Source organism: Homo sapiens, chromosome 3 (assembly GCF_000001405.40).
Source record: "Homo sapiens chromosome 3, GRCh38.p14 Primary Assembly".
In the NCBI taxonomy this organism is placed as follows: domain Eukaryota; kingdom Metazoa; phylum Chordata; class Mammalia; order Primates; family Hominidae; genus Homo; species Homo sapiens.
This window is the reverse complement of record NC_000003.12, coordinates 41,898,003-41,920,233: the sequence shown is the minus strand read 5'-3', so window position 1 is coordinate 41,920,233 and position 22,231 is coordinate 41,898,003. Positions and strand designations below refer to the sequence as shown.

The 22,231-nt window shown below is 39.6% G+C and overlaps 1 protein-coding gene and 1 pseudogene across 4 annotated transcripts in view; both read left to right on the top strand.

Annotated features, from left to right (window-relative positions):
* The window catches only part of ULK4 (unc-51 like kinase 4), a 715,505-nt gene that overhangs the window by 41,870 nt on the left and 651,404 nt on the right, over window positions 1–22,231 (top strand). For 2 of the 4 annotated variants that reach the window (NM_017886.4, NM_001322500.2), the window contains exons 6-14: window positions 416–517; window positions 1,694–1,777; window positions 4,182–4,257; window positions 7,335–7,427; window positions 8,575–8,693; window positions 8,848–8,917; window positions 12,293–12,389; window positions 19,405–19,509; window positions 21,742–21,802. In NM_017886.4, the coding sequence (NP_060356.2) occupies window positions 416–517; window positions 1,694–1,777; window positions 4,182–4,257; window positions 7,335–7,427; window positions 8,575–8,693; window positions 8,848–8,917; window positions 12,293–12,389; window positions 19,405–19,509; window positions 21,742–21,802 (807 nt within the window). The remainder of the gene's footprint in view (window positions 1–415; window positions 518–1,693; window positions 1,778–4,181; window positions 4,258–7,334; window positions 7,428–8,574; window positions 8,694–8,847; window positions 8,918–12,292; window positions 12,390–19,404; window positions 19,510–21,741; window positions 21,803–22,231) is intronic. The other 2 variants (NR_136342.2, NM_001322501.2) reach the window with 2 other exon arrangements.
* Window positions 20,981–21,123, top strand: LOC124900553 (uncharacterized; annotated as a pseudogene).

Genomic DNA, 22,231 nt, shown 5'->3' with positions numbered 1-22,231 from the left:
AGCCTCTATCAGCCTGGGTCTTTGAGTGACTATGAGGATCAGAGCTTCTTGGTAGATTTGTTGTGGACATGTTTAGTGATAGATAAACCTTTGCTGTTAAGCCAGTGGGATGTTGGGGTTGTTATATTGAAGGTTTAACTTAAACTATTCTAATTGAAATTTAAAAGAAGAATGTAGCTGAATGTGCCATACCTCTCAGGTAGATTTTAAACACTTTTTTATATTCACACACATCCTTTGCAAAATGTAACCTTAAAATTAGAAAACATTTAAAAATGTGAAATGCACATGAAGTTTTATTCATGCGCATGTTTTTCTCCTGCCCTTTTTCATCTCATCAGATCTTTCCTAGGTGGGTTCGTGTTGGCAGCAATACAAATGCCTAACCGAGCTGTTCTTCATACTTTGCTTTTAGGATCTCCTGTATATACAGCACCAGAAGTTGTGAGGGGTGCTGACTTTTCCATCTCCAGTGACCTCTGGTCTTTGGGCTGTCTGCTTTATGAAATGTTTTCAGGTAATTGTTTCCTGAATAGGTATAAAATCAGAGCTGGACTAAAAACCAGGTTAAGTCTGTACTTTGCAGATGTTTTACCTATAAGATGTGAAAAAACTAGATTTTTTTTTATTTTGAGACAGAGTCTCGTACTGTCACCCAGTCTGGAGTGCAGTGGCACGATCTCGGCTCACTACAACCTCTGCCTCCTGGGTTCAAGCCATTCCTGTGTCTCAGCTTCCCGAGTAGCTGGGCTTACAGGTGCCCACCACCATGCCTGGCAGTTTTTTCTATTTTTAGTAGAGAGCGGGTCTCACCATGTTGGCCAGGCTGGTCTTGAATGCCTGACCTCAAGTGATCTGCCTGCTTAGGCCTCCCAAAGCTCTGGGATTATAGGCATGAGCCACTGTGCCTGGCCAAAAAAACTGTGACCTTATAAATTTTTATGTATACTGATTTTGGCTGAGTTGCTTGGTATCTAGGCATATGCAGATTCCTAGAAAGTTCTTGATAAATAGGTAATTTTTCATGATAATCTGGAATGCTGAAATGTGCCTAACTCAAAAATTGTGATTATTAGAAATTTTTGTAAAGATGCCTTGCAATTGTGTATTATTCAGATGATTTGAATGGCCCATGCACCCATTGGTTCATAGTAGTGGTCCATATGTGTGTTTGTGTATTTGTTAGGATGATAATACATTTTGAAGTAAGAGAAATATATAGGCAGTGCCTCGTACATACTAGGCATTAAATAGCTATTGCTATATATTTTTTCTATAAGTTGTATAATCTTGAAATATCTGTAGTTGAGATTAGAATTATTGGTGATAGCAAGGCCAGGTGTGGTGGCTCACGCCTGTAATCCCAGCACTTTGGGAGATCGAGGCGGGCGGATCACGAGGTCAGGAGATTGAGACCATCCTGGCTAACACGGTGAAACCCCATCTCTACTAAAAATACAAAAAATTAGCTGGGCGTGGCAGCGTGCGCCTGTGGTCCCAGCTGCTGGGGAGGCTGAAGCAGGAGAGTGGCCTGAACCCAGGAGGCGGAGTGTGCAGTGAGCCGAGATTGCGCCACTGCACTCCAGCCTGGGTGACAGAGCAAGACTCCATCTCAAAAAAAAAAAAAAAAAAAAAAAAGAATTATTGGTGATAGCAGACTTCTTTCATTTTGCAAGTTTTCATGTGATTTCAGGAAAACCTCCATTCTTCTCAGAAAGTATTTCAGAATTAACTGAAAAGATCTTATGTGAAGATCCTTTGCCACCTATTCCGAAAGGTAAGATTTCTTATGATAAATGGAATTAATTTACATTTTACACTGATTAAAGGTGTACCTTTATCCAACGTTTGCTTTTATTGATTCATAACTCCCCAAAGTTATCTTTTATAAATGATCCCAAGTTGATATTTTTAGAAATGTTAGTATTTCTTTTGCCATTTTTTAAAGATGCTGAAACAGAAAACAAAGTACTAATAGATTTCCCTCATTTAAAAACTATTTTGTGCATCTATATCATAAAAAGTATGGCTTAAAGACTTAAAAAACTTAAACCCTTATGTGACATTGCTTTTTGTATGTACCATTTACTTACTTTGTAGTCGTATCCCATGTGGTTATTTCTATCTCCTGTTGGAACAAATTCACCATTTCCTTATCTTGATGAATCAGAATGCTACCCTTATAAGTTTTAAAAATCTTTATTTATTTATTTATTTATTTATTTATTTATTTATTTATTTATTTTTGAGACAGAGTCTTGCTCTGTTGCCCAGGCTGGAGTGCAGTGGCGTGTTCTCGGCTCACTGCAACCTCCGCCTCCCGGGTTCAAGCAGTTCTCCTGCCTCAGCCTCCCGAGTAGCTGGGACTACAGGTGCCCACCACGGCACCCGGCTAATTTTTTGTTTTTTGTTTTTTATTAGAGACGGGGTTTCACCATCTTGGCCAGGCTGGTCTCAAACTCCTGATGTCATGATCCACCCACCTCAGCCTCCCAAAGTGCTGGGATTACAGGCGTGAGCCACTGCGCCCGGCCTAAAAATCTTTAAAATTAGATACAGTTGTATTATTTTTAAAGTGTTGGAACTTTAATCATATAAATTGTGGTTAATATAATGATCTATCAGCAATAATTTTTAAGGAAAGGAAAACAAAAGAAGGCACAAGTGTAGTAAAACATTTTGCTATACATTGTTAAAGTTTATCTTAAGACACATAAATGAAAACAGGATTCTACAAAAATTATTGCTATATATACATATATATATATTTGAGAGACAGGGTTCTGCTGTGCTGCTGTGTCACTCAGGCTGGAGTGCAGTGGTGCAGTCAACCTCCCAAGTAGCCGGGACTATAGGGGCACACCACTGGGAATGGCTAATTTTTTAATTTTTTGGTGGAGACAAGGTCTTGGTATGTAGCCTAGCTTGTCTTGAACTCCTGGCCTCGAGTGATCCGCCTGCCTTGGCCTCTCAAAGTGCTGGGATTTCAAGTATGAGCCACAATGTGTGGCCATTACTACTACTTTTAACCATAGACTGATGACCTGGATATGGTATATAACTAATTTAAAAAGACAAAACATTATGAGATTAGTGGTATTGGACAGTGTCATATTATAATGCTTCTTATTTCTGTTAAAAATCTTAAAAGAGGGATTGCAAATATTCTTAGTTGTTCAAGTTAGGAATACTTAAAAGAATAAGGTATAATTAATAGTTAAGCTGGGGCCGGGCATGGTGGCACACACCTGTAATCCTAGCACTTTGGGAGGCTGAGGTGGGTGGATCACCTGAGGTCAAGAGTTCACGACCAGCCTGACTATCATGGTGAAACCCTGTCTCTACTAAATACAAAAAAATTAGCCAGGCATGGTGGCACATGCCTGTAATCCGAGCTACTTGGGAGGCTGAGACAGGAGAATCGCATATACCTGGGAGGCAGAGGTTGCAGTGAACTGAGATCGCTCCATTGCACTCCAGCCTGGGCAAGAAGAGTGAAACTCATTCTCCAAAAAAAAAAAAAAAAAAATAGTTGGAGCTGAGCATAGTGGCTCACACTTGTAATTGTAATTGCAGCACTTTAGGAGATCCAAGGCAGGTGGATCACTGGAGCCCAGGAGTTGGAGACTAACTTAGGCAGCATAGTGAGACCCCATCTCTATAAAAAATAAACAAAAATTAGTCAGGCATGGTAGTGCATGCCTGTAGTCCCACCTACTCTGGAGGCTGGGGTGAGAGGATCACTTGAGCCTGGGAGGTAGAGGCTGGAGTGAACCATGATGGTGCCACTGCACTCCACCCTGGGTGACAGAGCAAGACTCTATCTCAAAAAACTCCCCCAAAATAGTTGAAGACAAGTGTTTGAGTTTGTTAAGCTGGTGATCCTTATTGGGATTGTTCAGTGAAGAGAAGGCTTAGAGGTTTGTTAAGACTTAGTTTTTGAGATTTACATTTCTTTTTTGTGATCTAGGAAAAAATGTTTTTAATCTTTGTGTTCTGTACCTCCCCATCCTGCCCCATTAAATAGAGGATATAATTGTTGTTAATGGATTTAGTGTTCTCTTAATAATAATGTATGTGTTTAAAATACTATTGCTTTAAATGTTGATGTAAGAGATAAAAATAAAATTGATATGTATTTACTACTTATCATTTTTTCTTGGAAATTAATTCATTTATAGATTCTTCTCGTCCTAAAGCTTCTTCAGATTTTATTAATTTGCTTGATGGGTTACTTCAAAGAGATCCTCAGAAAAGGTAGGGACAGTAGTTCGATCTTTTTTTCTTTTTCTTTTGAGTTCTGCAAATGGAGTAAGGGGCAGTATTTTAATGGGAATAAATAATGAAATCTTTTCCCCCTTTTATGTACTTCTAAAATGGTGCTGTTCTTAATATACAAATAGCTATTCAAATTATTATTTTTTAAAGAAGTCTGACTTCGGATTAAAAGTTTTTCTCTCAGTTTGCAGGTGTTTTTAATCATGAGGAATTTTTGAAGTCAGTTTCTCTTTTCATGTATTAAGTAGTTGACAAATTTTCTTATAACTCCCAAATCCAAGAGGTACCATTTCTTGTATTTTGTATTTCAGGCTAAAACTGTTTGACTATTGACCGAGGGATGATATTGTCAAGTTAAGATGCTGTTAACTGAGTGTCATAAAAACAGGTTTTATGACACTCCTGTCATAATGGGGCTATTAAGTGATAGGATAATAGGCACCTTGTGAATTTTCTGTCAGTGATGGCAATGTTAGAAATCATTGTTGAGGCACAGGGTAGGGGAGGCTAGGAGGTAGACCAGAGTGGGAAAGAGGCCCAAACAACTAGTTTCTAGTTCTGGTTCTGTCACTAGGTAACTGGGATGGGGTGATGGGAGGAGGGTTCCGTTTATAAAATGGAGAATAAATTTAGTGTAGCATATACAAGAATCCATTCTTTTATTAAATATATTTTAAAAACTGCAGAAGGAAATGCTGATTTTTGTATAAGCTGTAGGACAAACATCCTTTACTTATATTAGAATGCTTTCAACATTAGTGTTATTTTGGTGGATAATTTTTCAGACATCTTTTGATAGGATGTAACTATACCTAATTTACTTAAGACGGTGTATCCACATATCCCTACATTTATAACTGTATGCTATATAATTTTTTGCTTACATGGGACCACTCCATAACCTACTTTTTTCTCTCATGGTACATTATGCATATTTTTCCATTTCCATTTCTGAGTCTTGCTCTGTCACCCAGGCTGGAGTGCAGTGGCACAATCTTGGCTCACTGCAACCTGGGTTCAAGTGTTTCTCATGCCTCAGCCTCCCAAGTAGCTGGGATTTCAGGCGCGTGCCACCATCCTCAGCTAATTTTTGTGTTTTTAGTAGAGATGGGGTTTCACCATGTTGGCTATGCTGGTCTCGAGCTCCTGGCCTCAAGCAGTTCCGCCTGCCTCGGCCTCCCAAAGTGCTGGGATTTCAGGTGTGAGCCACTGTACCTGGCTGCCTGGTCATTTTAAATGGCTGTAGAACGTATATACAATTACCTATAAAAAAGTAAACGTTTAGAATGCCTCTTGATTTGGAATATTATATGTGTTGTTACAGTAAATATCCTTTTGTGAATTTTTAAAATTTTTTTGGGTTTACTTGGTTAGTTATCTCTTTGATGTGAATTTCTCAAAATGAAATGGCTGGCCAAAGGCTAAGAGCATTTAAAAAGTTTGATACATTTCCTGCATTCTAGGAACATGTGCTGATTTACACTCCCAGCAACAATATGTTAGAAAGCTCCTTCCCTCCCACTCTCATCTACAGTGTGCCTTGTTGATCTACATTTTTGTCAGTTTGATGGATGAAAATACATTTTACTTTGTTGGCTATTTTTATTTCTCCTTTAGTGAACCATAAGAACCTTTGTGTAAAGGAATATTATATGTGGTTGCAAATTCTATTATTTGTGTTTTACTTTTGATTGAAGTAATTTTATTTAATACAGAAATTTTGAATGATTAGTCGACTATAAATTCTTTTCTTTTTTGTTTTAAAATTTCAGTCAGGCTTAATTTTCCCACTCTGGTGAGTATATCTAGAGGTATACTCTATTAGTAGTGAAACTTAATCTTTTGAAAGTGAGCCTGAGTTTTAAATACAACCTAAAGTCATTTTAATGCAAGTGAACTAGCTAGGTAATATTATTTTGATTCCTAAACAAGGTGTGAATGTATATGGTTATGAAGCTGATATTCTTTCCTCCCACCGCCGCACCCCCTCCCGGAGACGGGGTCTCACTCTGTCACCCAGGCTGGAGTGCAGTGGTGTGATCTTGGCTCACTGCAACCTCTCCCTCCCAGGCTCAAGAGATTCTTCCACCTCAGCCTCCCAAGTAGCTGGGATTATAGGTGTGGGCCCCCACACCCAACTAATTTTTGTATTTTTTGTAGAGATGGGGTTTTGCCACATTGTCCAGGCTGGCCTCAAAATCATGGACTCAAGCAATCTACCCACCTTGGCCTCCCAAAATGCTGGGATTACAGGTGTGAGCCACTACACCTGGGCTGATATTCTTATTTATTCCTGAATGAATTTCCAACAGAATAGTTCCAAAACTTAAATGTGTCAGTTAGGGTAAGTAAAATAATCTTGCCTCTGTTGTGAAATAAAGGATGACAGGATTATAGATATCTGATATATTTACTTTAGAATTTCAAATTACGCTGAGCACGGTGGCTCACGCCAGTAATCCCAGCACTTTGGGAGGCGGAGGCGGGTGGATCACGAGGTGAGGAGATCGAGACCACCCTGGATAACACGGTGAAATCCCGTCTCTACTAAAAATACAAAAAATTATCCAGGCGTGGTGGCGGACGCCTGTAGTCCCAGCCACTCGGGAGGCTGAGGCAGGAGAATGGCGTGAACCCGGGAGGCAGAGTTTGCAGTGAGCCGAGATCGCGCCACTGCACTCCAGCCTGGGTGACAGAGCCAGCCTCCGTCTCAAAAAAAAAAAAAAAAAAAAAAGAATTTCAAATTATTTATCGACTCCGTTTTTCCTAGGCTGGTTGGAGAAACCAGACTCTATGGAATTTGAACCCTGAAACTTCTAATGCTTAGTTATCAGACTGTTTCATTCTGTACCATTTAATGCTTCTGAATTGTTTCTTTTTATCTTGCTGTCTAAAAGAGGTTAATAGCATACAAAAATGAAATAATAAAATATAAAATGATTTCAAAGGTACATGTGTACCTTGTAAAATCTGCTATGTGTAATTGGGACATGTCTTGGGAATTTTTCATGGTAAATCATGTTAAAGTAGAGTTTTAACATTTATGTTTTTTAAAGATTGACTTGGACAAGGCTACTGCAGCATTCATTTTGGAAGAAAGCTTTTGCTGGAGCAGATCAGGAATCAAGCGTCGAAGATCTCAGTCTCAGGTAGTATACACTTACCTTTGTGTATGGGACATAGTTACTGGACACTTAAGCCCATTACTGTTCTAAATATACAACATCAATGACTGGAATTTCTCTGCTTTCGTAGTAGGAGAAAATCCAGCGTTTGTTTAATTAAGGGTTGCTTGAGGAGTTTACTCATGATATTTTTATGTTCTTGATTTTGCATATTTTCTGTTGTTATTCTTCAGTCATTGATATAATATGATAGTCATTAGTTCTGTTACCAAATACATCTGGCTTCCCACCTCCCAAGTAAATGGTAGGATCTTTTTTCTCCTCTTTATGTTAGGTGTGGTCATGTGACTTGTTTCTGGTAACAAAATGTTAGTAAAAGCAATGTGTGTTATTCCCAGATGCAAAGTTGAAGAGCAGTGGTAATTTACTACATGATGAGGTAATTGGGAAGAAAAATGTCAAAATGGAGTTCCAACCTGGATTTTTTTTTTTTTTTTTTTTTGAGACAACGTCTCACTCTGTCACCTAGGCAGGAGTGTAGTGGTACAATCATGGTGCATTGCAGCCTTGACCTCCCTGGGCTCAGGTGATCCTCCTACCTCAGATTCCTGGGTAGCTGAGACTATAGGTGTGTGCCACTACACTCAGCTATTTATTGTATTTTTAGTAGAGACAGGGTTTCACCATGTTGCCCAGGCTGGTTTCAAACTCCTGGCCTCAAGCGATTTGCCCGCTGTGGCCTCCCAAAGTGTTAGGATTATAGGCGTGAGCCACCATGCCTGGTCTGTCAGCCTGGATCTTTTTTTTTTTTAAATTAAAAAAAATTGTTAAAAACAAAAAAGTAGAGACAAGGTCTCACTATGTTGCCCAGGCTGGTCTCAAACTCCTGAGTTCAAGTGATCCGTCTGCCTCGGCCTCCCAAAGTGCGGGGATTACAGGTGTGTACCACCACGCCTGGCCTTAGCCTGGATCTTGAGGGACTACAGTGACGTAGCTTTCCTGCCGGTCTTTGATGGCTATGTGGATGAGGGAGGCATAAAGTTAAGAGATTCTGTAACTTTGCTAAATGTCATGTGTAATTTAATTATCTTCTCCAACCTCTTTTTCTCTAACATAAAACTATAGAGAACTCCAAAGTAAGTTTGATTGTGTTGGTTTTCTCCAATAATAGCAGAAACACTATGGAGTGTTCTGGGCCACAAGATTCCAAGGAGCTTTTGCAGAACTCTCAGAGTAGACAAGCAAAAGGGCACAAGAGTGGTCAACCACTAGGTCACTCTTTCAGACTAGGTAAGTTTTATTTGAGCACATTCATGCTACTTAGAATGTTGTTTGAGAGAGTTCCTAATTTCAGTGTTATGTCCCTTTAAATCTTTGTGTACGTTATGCCTTGCATATGATATTTTTGTTCTTTTCTGGATAACATATTACTTTCCTGCTACAGAAAATCCAACTGAGTTTCGGCCTAAGAGTACTCTTGAGGGTCAATTGAATGAATCCATGTTTCTTCTCAGGTAGGTAAAATGAAAAAAGAGGGATCAGTGCAAGACAAAAGTTAAATTTTCTTAAAGCATCTGCTATCTTGGTGCAAACTTTGTTACACAGAGATAAAGAACAGGAATTTTAGTGCCAAATGCCAGTTTCACTCTCCAATTTCAAAGTTACAGTTAGGTCGTGGCCAGTGAAATGTAGATTTTGCTATGTACAGGATTTTTGAAAATTTTTAACCAAACCAACTTATTTTTTTACCAAAGCAACTCATTATTTCCATTTGTAAGAATTAATGCCTCTTCATTTTGTTCTTTAACTTAAAATAGAATTGAACTTAAAATTTCAGAAGTCCAGCTTGTTTGGTTTGTTTTGTTTTTGAGACAAGATCTCCGTCTATTGCCCAGGCTGGAGTGCAGTGGCGTGATTTTGGTTCATTGTAACCTCTGCCTCCTGGATTCAAGTGATCTTGCCACTTTAGCCTCTCAAGTAGCTATGACTACAGGTGTGTGCCACCATGCCTGGCTAATTTTTTTGTAGAGATGGTGTTTTGCCGTGTTGCTCAGGCTGGTCTCAAACTCCTGGGTTTGAGCCATCTGCCTGCCAATGCACCCAGTTTTTGTTGTTGTTGTTAATGCTTTGAAGGCAAAAGCTTCTTTATTTGGATAAATACTTACAGAAAAGAAGAGGTTCTGTTTTTCTTTAAATACTTTTTTATTCTTTCATTTATTTTTATTTTATTTTTTTGAGATGGAGTCTTGTTCTGTTGTCCAGGCTAGAGTGCAGTGGTGCGATCTTGGCTCACTGCAGCCTCCACCTCCCAGGTTCAGGCAATTCTCCTGCCTCAGCCTCCCGAGAGTAGCTGGGACTACAGGGGCCCACCACCTCGCCTGGCTAATTTTTGTATTTTTAGTAGAGACAGGATTTTGCCATGTTGGCCAGGCTTGTCTTGAACTCCTGACCTTAGGTGATCCACCAGGCCTCCCAGAGTGCTGCGATTACACACATGAGCCACAGTGCCCAGCCTTTCTTTTAATACTTTTCTATATGTGAGGCTTGAATAATGTTTGTAATCACTGAAAGAATTAAAGTCAGAGTGGTATCTTAAAGTAATTAGGACCAATGCATTAAAAAATTTTGTAGTATGGACCGGGCTCAGTAGCTCACGCCTGTAATCCCAGCACTTTGGGAGGCCAAGGCAGGCGGATCACCTGAGGTCAGGAGACTGAGACAAGCCTGGACAACATGGCGAAAACCCGTCTCTGCTAAGAAAAAAAAATTAGCTGGACGTGCTGGTGGGTGTCTGTAATCCCAGCTACTTAGGAGGCTGAGGCAGGAGGATCACTTGAACCCGGGTGGTGGAGGTTGCAATGAGCTGAGATCGCGCCATCGCGCTCCAGCCTGGGGGACAAGAGCGAAACACCGTCTCAAAAAAAAAAATTTAGTAGTATGTAAATATTTAAAGTATTTAAAATATTTTTTAACGTAGAGAAATAGTTTTATTTCATGAAATAGTGGTTATAATGATAAAATTCCTGATATGTTTTACCCATATTTAAATGTAATGTATGTTTATCTATATACATTTTACACATTTTATTTATTATTTATTTATTTATATATTTTTTGAGACAGACTCTTGCTCTGTCGCCCAGGCTGGAGTGCAGTGGCATGATCTCGGCCTACTGCAGCCTCCACCTCCCTGGTTCAAGCGATTCTCATGTCTCAGCCTCCCAAGTGGTTGGGATTACAGGCCTGTGCCACCAAGCTTGGCTAATTTTTTTTTGTATTTTTAGTAGAGATGGAGTTTCTCCGAGTTGCCCAGCTGGCCTCGAACTCCTGAGCTCAGGTGATCTGCCTGTCTTGGCCTCTCAAAGTGCTGAGAATTACAGGCATGAGCCACAGTGCCTGCCCCATTTTATACATTTTAAATTTAACTTTTTAGAACCTCCTAGATTTTCTGGTATATTGTATTTTATGTGCTATGTAAGTATATGTTTAATGAGGGGATCAACAGATAAGTGAATGAGAGTTGAGGATCCTGATACTTGGGAATTTGAAGATGATAATTTTTTTTTTCTTGAGATGGAGTCTTGCTCTGTTGCCCAGGCTGGAATGCAGTGGTGCGGTCTTTGCTCACTGCAACCTTCACCTACACTGTTTAAGCTATTCTTCTGCCTCAGCCTCCCAAGTAGCTGGGACTACAGGCATGCACCACCATGCTGGGCTAATTTTTTTTTTTTTTTTTTTGAGATGGAGTGTTGCTTTGTCACCCAGGCTGGAGTGCAGTGGCTTGAACTTGGCTCACTGCAATCTCCACCTCCTGAGTTCAAGTGATCCTCCTGCCTCAGCCTCCCAAGTAGCTGGGATTACAGGTGCCTGCTACCATGCCTGGCTAATTTTTGTATTTTTAGTAGGGATGGGGTTTTGCCATATTGGCCAGACTGGTCTCAAACTCCTGACCTCAAGTGATCTGACCACCTCGGCCTCCCAAAGTGCTGGGATTACAGGAGTAAGCCACCGCACTCGGCCCTGAAGGAAATAATTAAAAAATATTAATGATCTGATGGGAAGGATTTCTTAAAATGTGAAAAGCTCAGGCCGGGCACAGTGGCTCATGCCTGTAATCCCTGCACTTTGGGTGGCTGAGGCGGGTGGATCATGAGGTCGGGAGTTCCAGACCAGCCTGGTCAAGATGGTGAAACCCTGTCTCTACTAAAAATACAAAAATTAGCCTGGTGCAGTGGCGGGCACTTGTAATCCCAGCTACTCGGGAGGCTAAGGCACGAGAATTGCTTGAACCCAGGAGGTGGAGGTTGCAGTGAGCCGAGATCGTGCCACTGCACTCTAGCCTGGGTGACAGAGCAAGACTCCATCTCAAAAAGAAAAAAAAAGTGAAAAGCTCAAAACCATGGATCCAGGAAAAGTACAGTGGCCCATACGGTATGGCAGGCATTTATATGTGTAGGAAGAATCATTACAAATAGGTATGGATTGTAACTCCCTTGTTACTTATTTTAAATAGGTGCCAGGGTAATTTCCTTTTCAAATACTTAATGATATATAGCTACAAATATTTTTCATTCTTTGTAGAATATCTGATCTATTTTATTTATGTTAATCCTGCCTATACCAGAAGACATTTATAAAAATTAATGCTTGAAGGTTTCTAGTTAAAAAGGAAAATACTGTATAAATAAAAGAAATAATACATTAGCCAGGAAATTAATAGCAGTTATAAAAATTATATAAACATAAATTAGATCTAGACTTTTTTAGTGACAGTATATGGAATCATCATACTCTACCATTTTTCATGAGACTTGTTTTCTTCCAGAAAACAGTAAACAGAGAATAAACTGTCTGGAATTGAATAATGTTAACTGGTTTGTATTTTTCAGTTCTCGTCCTACTCCCAGAACTAGCACTGCAGTGGAAGTAAGTCCTGGTGAGGATATGACTCACTGTTCACCACAGAAGACTTCTCCTCTGACCAAGGTGAGCAGACTTGGGAAATTTTCTTCCTACATAAGATGTAGAAGCTCACAAGAATAATTGTAAGTTGGTAAATGAATTATGTTAATAATTACAAAATTTACAATAAGGTCATCTTTGCTGATCATTATAGGTTTTTCTTGTAAGTACTCTGAGAGAGATATCCCATTTAGTTGCTTCATGGTTCTTTTTGGTAGGACTTTCCTTGAGGTACAGTTGACATACCATACAATTTACCTATTTAAGGTGAACAATTCAGGCTGGATGTGAATTGTAATTCTTGCACTTTGGGAGGCTGAGACAGGAGGATCACTTGAGGCCAGGAGTTGGAGACCAGCCTGGCCAACATAGCGAGACCCTGTCCTCATAAAAAATAAAAAAAAATTAGCTGGGTTTGGTGGTGCACACCTGTAGCCCTAGCCACATGGGAAGCTGAAGTGGGAGGGTTGCTTGAGCCCTGGAGTTTGAGGCTGCAGTGAGCAATGACAGCACCACCGCACTCCAGCCTGGGTGACAGAGTGAGACCCACCTCTTTAAAAAAAAAAATAAATAAAAGGGTACAATTCAGGGACCTTTAGCATATTCAGAGGTGTGCAACTATCACCACAGTTTTAGAATTCTTTCATCATCCAACAAAGAAACTACCCATTAGCAGTCACTGCCCCCGCCACCCCATGTTTCTCCAGTACTTTTCCATGCTTGTACTAGGCAACCACTAGTATACGTTTGTCTTTTTTGTCTTTATTATTTTACTTGTTCTGTGCATTTTCTATAAATGGAATCATACAATATGTGGTCTTTCGTTACTAGCTTTTTCCACTTAGTATATGTTATGTTTGTTTTCTTTCTTTTTTTTTGGAGACAGTCTTGCTCAGTCGCCAGGCTGGAGTGCAGTGGCGCGATCTTGGCTCACTGTAACCTCCGCCTACCGGATTCAAGCAATTCTCCTGCCTCAGCCTACCAAGTCGCTGGGACTACAGTCGTGCGTCACCATGTCCAGCTAATTTTTGTATTTTTAGTAGAGACGGGGTTTCACCATGTTGACCATGATGGTCTTGATCTCTTGACCTCATGATCTGCCCGCCTCGGCCTCCCATAGTGCTGGGATTACAGGCGTGAGCCACCGTGCCCGGCCTTTTTAACATATATTTTCAAGATTTATCCAAGTTGTAGCATGTATCAGTACTAGATTCCTTTTTATTGTCAAATAATTTGTTGTATATACAACATCTTTTTTTTTTTCCAGTCATCAGCTGGTGAATATTTGGGAGTGGAATTGCTGTGTCATGTGTTAACTCCTTGTTTAACTTTTTGTTTTTGAGTTAATGTCTCACTCTGTCATCCAGGCTGGAGTACAGTGGTACAATCATAGCTCACTGCAGCCAGGACCTCCTTGGCTCCAGTGGTCGTCCTGCCTTAGTCTGCCAAGTACCTGGAACTACAGGCATATGCCACCACACCCGGCTAAGTTTACAAAAAATTGTTTGTAAAGACAGGGTCCCACTATTTTGCGTAAGCTGGTCTCAAACTCCTGAGCTCAAGCGATGCTCCTGTCTCAGCCTCCCAGAGTGCTGGGATTGTAGGTATGAGCCACTGCACCTGGCCTTAACTTTTTTTTTTTTTTTTTTTTTGAGACGGAGTCTCGCTCTGTCGCCCAGGCTGGAGTGCAGTGGCGGGATCTCGGCTCACTGCAAGCTCCGCCTCCCGGGTTCACGCCATTCTCCCGCCTCAGCCTCCCGAGTAGCTGGGACTACAGGCGCCTGCCACCATGCCCAGCTAATTTTTTGTGTTTTTAGTGCAGACGGGGTTTCACCGTGTTAGCCAGGATGGTCTCGATCTCCTGATCTCATGATCCGCCCGCCTCGGACTCCCAAAGTGCTAGGATTATAGGCGTGAGCCACCGTGCCCGGCCCACCTGGCTAATTTTTGTATTTTTAGTAGAGACAGGTTTCACCATGTTGGCCAGGCTAGTCTGGAACTCCTGACCTCAAATGATCCACCTGTCTCCGCCTCCCAAAGTGTTTGGATTACAGACGTGAGCCACCGCGCCCAGCTAGTAGGTGTGAATTTCTATGTCTTAGTGGTGTTGATTTGCATTTACCTGATGGCTAATGATGTTGAGTATCTTTTTATGTGTTTATTGGCCATTTTGTCTATTTTCTTTGGAGAAATATTTATTCAAAAATTTAACCTATTTTTAATTGGGTTATTTATCTCTTTATTATTTAGTTGTAAGAATTTTTTACATATTCTAGATAGGAGTTATAACAATTTTCTCCCTTTTTCTGGATTGTCTTTTTTCTTTCTTGATGGTGTCCTTTGAAGCACAAAAGTTTTAAATTTTGATATAGTCCAATTTATCTTTTTTCGTTTGTGTTTTTTGCTGCTTGTGCTTTTGGTGTAATATCTAAAAAAACCATTGCTACTCCCAGCTCACAAAAGTTTCTGCCTATGTTTTCTTCTAAGAGTTTTATAGTTTTATTAGTATCTCTTAGATTTAGCTATTTTATCCATTTGAGTTAATTTTTGCATGTGGCATGAAGTAGGGGGTATAGCTTCATTGTTTTGCATCGAAACATCCAGTTGTCTCAGCGCTATCTGTTGAAAAGCTTATTCTTTCCCCATTGAATTGTCTTGGAACCCTTGCTGAAGATCGATTGACTGTATATGTGAAGGTTTATTTCTGGATTCTGTTCTGTTATCTATTCATCTGTCCTTATACCAGTGGCACACTCTTGATTACTGTAGCTGTTTAGTAAGCTTTGAAATCAGAAAGTATGAATCCTCCAAAAAAATTTTTAAGGTGGTTTTGGCTGTTCTGGGTCACTTGCATTTCCATATGAATTTTAAGATCAGCTTGTCAGTTTCTTCAAAGGAGCCAGCTGGGATTTTAATCACAGTTGCATTGAATGTGTAGATCAATTTAGGAAGTACTGCCATTTTAACAATGTTAAGTGTTCCTCCACGAACACAGGATGTATTTATACTTACTTAGGTTTTCTTTAATTTCTTTCAATCATAGTTGTGTTGAATGCAGAACTACTTTGAATTAATTCTAAGTTATTTTTATGCTACTTATTGCTTGACAAATATAATTGCTTTTAGTTTTTACTGTAGTTTTGATGTAATGTGAAGTGTATTTGGACCATGTGAAGCTTATTTCTGCTTTGAAATTTAGTATAAATGGGTTATAATAAAATCTCACTGTGCTAATTTTTTGGTTATGTGAAATAGAAAATCAATGTAAATTAAAAAATTCATTTTGAAATGCGATAGATGTTGAAGCTCTTCTGGCAGATGGTTATAAAGAAGAGTATATAATCATTCTATTGAGAAAATATAATCAATAATGTGAATACCTAAGGTAGTTTATTTTACATATCTATCTATCTATCTATTTATTTATTTATTTATTTTTGAGACAGAGCCTCACTCCTGTGACCTAGGCTGGAGTGGAGGGGCATGATCGTTGCTCATTGCAGCCTCAACTTGTTGGGCTTAGGTGATTCTCTCATCTCAGCCTCCTGAGTAACTGTGACTACAAGTATGCGCCACCATGCCTGGCTAATTTTTTGTATTTTTAGTAGAGGTTTCCCCATGTTGCCCAGGCTGGTCTCAGACTCCTGGACTCAAGTGATCTGCTGGCCTTGGCCTCCCAAAGAGCTGGGATTACAGGTGTGAGCCACTGTGCTTGGCCTTATGTTTTATAATTTTTAAATGATACTTTTTATTCTATTACAAAACATATATAATTGTAAAAAACTTGTAAAATGTAAAAGAGGACAAAGAAAATAGAAAAATTATTTACGATATAATTCCCGGGTAAACACTGATTACTTTTTTTTTTTTTTTTTTTAAGAGCCTTTTGCCCAGGCTGGAGTGCAGTGGCACAATTGTAGTTCACTGTAACCTCATACGTCTCATACATTTTGATATTGGCATGATTGTGTTCATTGTAACCTCATATGTCTCATACATTTTGATATTACTGCTTCTGGTTTTATACATATGTGTTCATTTTGAAACAAGGGAATATAATTTTATAACAATTATTTTCATTTAATGATTATGATCTGATTGCAATTATTGATCATTTAGTTTATTCCTGAACATTTTATTTTATATATTTTTGCTGTTGTGAGTGGGATATTTGTTATATGGCATTCGTGCATACATTCAGTTTACCTGTAGGAAATTAATTTTTGCATACAATTTTTTAATTGGTCCACCTTACTCATCTTACATTTTTTTTTTTTTTTCTTTGAGACAGAGTCTCGCTCTGTTTGCCCAGACTGGAGTGCAGCGGTGTGATCTTGGCTCATTGCGCCTCTGCCTCCCGGGTTCAAGTGATTCTCCTGCCTCAGCCTCTTGAGTAGCTGGGACCACAGGCACCCGCCACCACACCCAGCTAATTTTTGTATTTTTAGGACAGATGGGGTTTCACCATTTTGGCCAGACTGGTCTCGAATTCCTGGCCACAGGTGATCCGCCCACCTGGACCTCCCAAAGTGCTGGGATTGCAGGTGTGAGCCACCATGCCTGGCCTAATTCTTACGTTATTTCTAAGAGTTTTCCCATTGATTAATTTTGGCTTTTTGGATGTTCAGTTATATTATCTATACGTAAAGATAATTTGGCCACCTCTTTCAAATATTGATGTCTTACTTTACGGACCAATATAATTTACTAGCAGTTCCTCCTCAGTGTTAAATCAGCAGGGATATCCAGCCCTTTGCTCTATCATTGACTTCTTTTCTTTCCTTCTGCCCCCTTCCTCACTCAAGACACCATCCTTTCCATCCAGGCTTTGCAGTAACCTGCTAACTGGTCCCCTCAGTTCTCCATTGCTCCCCTCCATCCATTCTCCACTGAAGCAAGTATGATGTATATATTTAAGTGTCTTCATTAACTATCACTGTCTTCTCTCAAGCAGTGCCAGGCATTGTTTTAAGTGCTTTGTGTTTATTCTTCACAAACCTGAAAGCTTGTTTGTTTTAATCTTTGTTATAGATGAAGAAAACAAAGCTTTTTTTATCTTCCCTAAGAGCACATAATTAACAAGCAGCAATGTTAAGTTTGCCCCTGTCTTTTTGCCTTTAAAGTCCATCTTTTTTTTGGCAATGTGAGTTTACCTCTGTCTTTTTACCATGAAAGTCCATCTTTTTTTTTCTTTAATTGAAAGTCCATGTTCTTAAACTTAGATTTTCTTGTTTTAAACAAACTTCCTCTTCATTCTTTGTGGGCCTTTTTTTTTTTTTTCTTTTTTTTTTTTGGTGGAGTCTCGCTTTGTCACCTAGGCTGGTGTGCGATGGCGCAATCTCGGCTCACTGCAACCTCCGCCTCCCAGGTTCAAGCGATTCTCCTGCCTCAGCCCCCTAAGTAGCTGGGATTACAGGCGCCTGCCACCATGCCTGGCTAATTTTTGTATTTTTAGTAGAGATGGTGTTTCACCATGTTGGTCAGGCTGGTCTCGAACTCCTGACCTCGTGATGTGCCCACCTCGGCCTACCAAAGTGCTGGGATTACAGGCCTAAGCCACTGCACCCGGCCTCTTTTTGTGTTTTCTTGTCTTTTGTCTGAGTTGCATGGGGCAGCTTGGGTTTCCAGGAACTTTCTTAGCTAACTCCTCTGTTCCTTTATCCATGCCCCTTCCTCACTCAGTTTTGGGTAATTTATTTTCCTTATTCCTTACTTCACTGATTTACTTTTCTATTTTATTTAGTTTGCTAGCCGTTGTTTCTTTTAAAGTTCTTAAGCATAAATTCTCTCTCTCTTTTTTTTTTCCCTGTTGGGAAATACTGAGGCATAGCACTAGGAATACAAATTATGTTTAAATAGAGCACAAAGAACCATCTCAAAGGAATAACTGATGGTGAATATCTGCTGATTCATTTCATTATGTATCAACTCTAACTAGGCTTAATAAATAATTGAGGTTTAATACTTAGGTAGCATGTCTGTATTTAAGTCTGAAAATTTTTTTTATGTTACAGCTTCAATTTCACATTGAATGTTCTGTAAAGCAGAAATAAATTGATTAACATTCTGTGAATGAAAAATAAAGCCGTTGGTCAGGCGCGTGGCTCACGCCTATAATCCCAGCACTTTGGGAGGCCAAGTTGGGTGGATCACCTGAGACCAGGAGTTCGAGACCAGCCTGGCCAACATGGTGAAACCCCGATTCTACTAAAAATGCAGAAATTAGCAGTGCATGGTGGCATACACCAGTAATTCCACGACTTGGGAGGCTGAAGCAGGAGAATTGCTTCAACTCGGGAGGCAGAGGTTGCGGTGAGCTGAGATTGTGCCACTGCATTCCAGCCTGTGTGATGGAGTGAGACTCTATCTCAAAAAAAAAAAAAAAAAAAGGCTGGGCGTGGTGGCTCACGCCTGTAATCCCAGCACTTTGGGAGGCCGAGGCAGGTGGATCATGAGGTCAGGAGATTGAGACCATCCTGGCTAACACGGTGAAACCCTGTTTCTACTAAAAATACAAAAAAATTAGCCAGGCACAGTGGCAGGCGCCTGTAGTCCCAGCTACTCGGGAGGCTGAGGCAGGAGAATGGCGTGAACCCGGGAGGCAGAGCTTGTAGTGAGCCGAGATCACGCTACTGTACTCCAGCCTGGGGGACAGAGCGAGACTCCGCCTCAAAAAAAAAAAAAAAAAAAAAAAAAGAAGCCATGCTGTTATGGAAAAACCAATTTGCCTCATCACAGTTTAGAACATTGAATTGTAAAGATATTTTTTCTAGTCCTAGCCAGACTTAGTGGTAACATGAGCAATTCAGTTACTTTCTCAGAGTTTTATATTTTTATCTGTAAAATGGGAATGATGGTGCCTACAGTTTAGGATTTTTGTGAAAATCAAATGAGACTGCAACCATCTTGAATAGCAGTTGAAGTACATTGATATAGGTGATATTTTACAGTGGTGTCTTCCTCAGCATCTTACTGGTTCAGTGTTTTAAAGATCTACATTAGTCGCAGAAACAAAGTCTAATTTTTGTTCTCATTTCAGATTACAAGTGGACACCTGAGTCAGCAGGACCTGGAATCCCAGATGAGAGAGCTTATCTACACGGACTCAGATCTTGTTGTCACCCCCATTATCGACAATCCAAAGGTGCAGAAAGACACTCTAACAACTGAGTTGTAGACTTTACTGAGATCTGAAATCTGCATGAGATTTTCATTCAGAATATTATTTACTGTATAATCTTTCCTGTTTCTCTTGTCTGCTTCTGTGTCATTTGTGCTGCATGTCTGCATTTGCAGCTCCCCCTCTGTCTGCAGCCCTTTCCTCTGCCTTCACTTCCACTTCACTGGAGTTCTAAGTTTTCTCCCCTCTGTTTTGAATGAGTCAGCTCTGCTGCCTCTCACTACTGCTTCTTCCACATGCCATGGAGGGGTTGCCAGCCTCTTGACCTCAGACCTTAGCTCTCAGTCCTTTTGTTTCTCCGTATGCACTAATGTGAATCACTCTAAATATTCTAGTCTCTGATGTATTTCGAAGGCACAAGCAGTCAGAGGGCACTGCTTACCAGGCTGGGCTGGGCAGGCAGATCACACAGAAGCCCTACCCTCTCACAGGTTGTTAAGACTGCAGGGGAGACGATGGGGAGACATTCTGGGAGCTTGCGAAGTTGTAGTTCACAATGTACTTCTAAACCAGTGTGAGTTTTTTTGCTTCTTGTCTTTTGGAATATAATACTTTATTGCTAGGGGATAATGAGTATCTACTTTAAAAAACAAATTCATTTCTAAGTCCCTCTGTTTTGTCTTGACTTCCAGCTCCCCAACATACTCACATTCCACTACTTTTTCTCTATTTTAATTTTCCTGCTTCTTTTTCTTATTTATAAATGTTTTTTTCTGTATTAATTCATGACTCTTTTTTCTTATCTCATTGGGAACGTTACTGTGGTTTAGACCATGAAGGTTCTTGAATTCTTATTTATTTTCTAGATAGACAGCATTTCATATAGATTATTTAGCTATTTTTCATAATGGAGCTACTTCTTTTTGTGAGTTCATATGTCTGGCAGAGTAACTTTATTATGCTAAGTTTGATGAGCATTGGGGCATTTTCAACGTGGGCTTTCTAGAACAATTTGTGTTATCTTTACCAGGGGTGTCCAATCTTTTGGCTTCCCTGGGCCACATTGGAAGAAGAATTGTCTTGGGGCACACATAAAATACACTAACGATAGCTGATGAACTAAAAAACAAAAAAAATTGCAAAAAAAAATCTTACAATGTTTTAAGAAGGTTTACAAATTTGTGTTGGGCCACTTTCAAAGCCGTCTTGGGCTGCATGCAGCCCATGGGCTACGGGTTGGACAGGCTTGCTTTAGACAATATTCTGTGTTTCTTTTTTTCCCTCTTATAACCATATTTGATAGTTTCTGGGAAGCCTTAATCAGTAGAAATTTTTGTGTTTAACTTTTAATTTTAAACTACTTTTAGTCTTAGAGAAAAGTTTCAAAAATAATTGAGAGTTCCTGTATACCTTTTGCCCAGCTGCTCTTAATGTTCACATCTTATAGGTCTGTAGTATAGTTAGCAAAACCTGGGAATTAAAATTGGTATAGTGTTAGTCAGGCAGGATAATCCCTATCTGTTCCTCCTTTTGGAGGGCAGTAGAATGTGGTAATTGGAGTGGCATAATACTTGATTAATAATTGTGCACTTTCCAATTCATGCTATTATGGCTTCCTGGAGTGGTGTCTTCTCTGATATAACCATTAACCATCCTTCAAGACCTCAACCCACCTTCTACCTCTCTGTAAACCCAGTCCTAACTATATCAACTAAAGTGCTTGCTGTATTCTCTAAACTACTATTTACAAAAAAATTCTTTCTGTCCAGTGTTTTCTCTGTAGTTATGTCCTGCATGTTTTGAATTGTGAAATATTTTGTTGTTTATCGAATGTTTGTCTCATCTTCCCAACTAGGATGTCAGCTCTCTGAAAATAGGATTGTGTCTTTTATATCTTTGTATCCCCATTAGCACTTGGCATAGAGCCTTACCTTGGCAGGTACCCAATAGATATTTGTTGAATGACTGAATTTCTAATTAGAGGTAAATTAGCTAAAAAGTAAGCCAAGATAGGAGTGAATGTTTTCTATGAAGCTTTATTTTATTACAGATATCAATTGAAATGATTATAAAAAATATTATCTATATTTGTGTGTTTTAATCCGAAAAGTCATTGTTCTTATTCTTTTTGGTAACAAATTTTGCACATTCTTTTTTTGTCCTCATTGATTTATTATCTGACATAAGGGACATATAAGGAGACAGATATCCATCTTAAAAATTGTCTCAAAAGCTTTCTTTTTTTTTAAACCACAGATAATGAAACAGCCACCAGTTAAATTTGATGCAAAAATATTGCATCTACCAACATATTCAGGTAGGATCATAAAGGACTTATCGAACATGTAGACTCTTTGTATACAGATACAAATATGAAATTTATTTGCAAATAGAATATATGTGAATAACTAAATTTATTTTGTCTTGACAATTGGCTATATTCTTGGGGCAGTGTTACACGAATTGTAAACAATCTGTAATTCATTTGTGCCAGCTGTTGACATTTCTTAGCTGAGTCTGGGCTGCCCAGTCCTATTGTGGGTGGGGAGGTTCCTGTAGATCTGGGCAAGTTTTCCTGTAGAGTGGGTGGGAGGTCTTCTCCTCCCTTCCCTTAGAGCTGGTTGAATTTCCACCATTTATGGCTGGTATAGGTGCACAGGGTTGGGGACAACAATGAAGGATTGGGATTCTATTAGAGGGACCAGGACATTTGAGAATGGGACTAGGTGGTTCATGACTGTGGAGG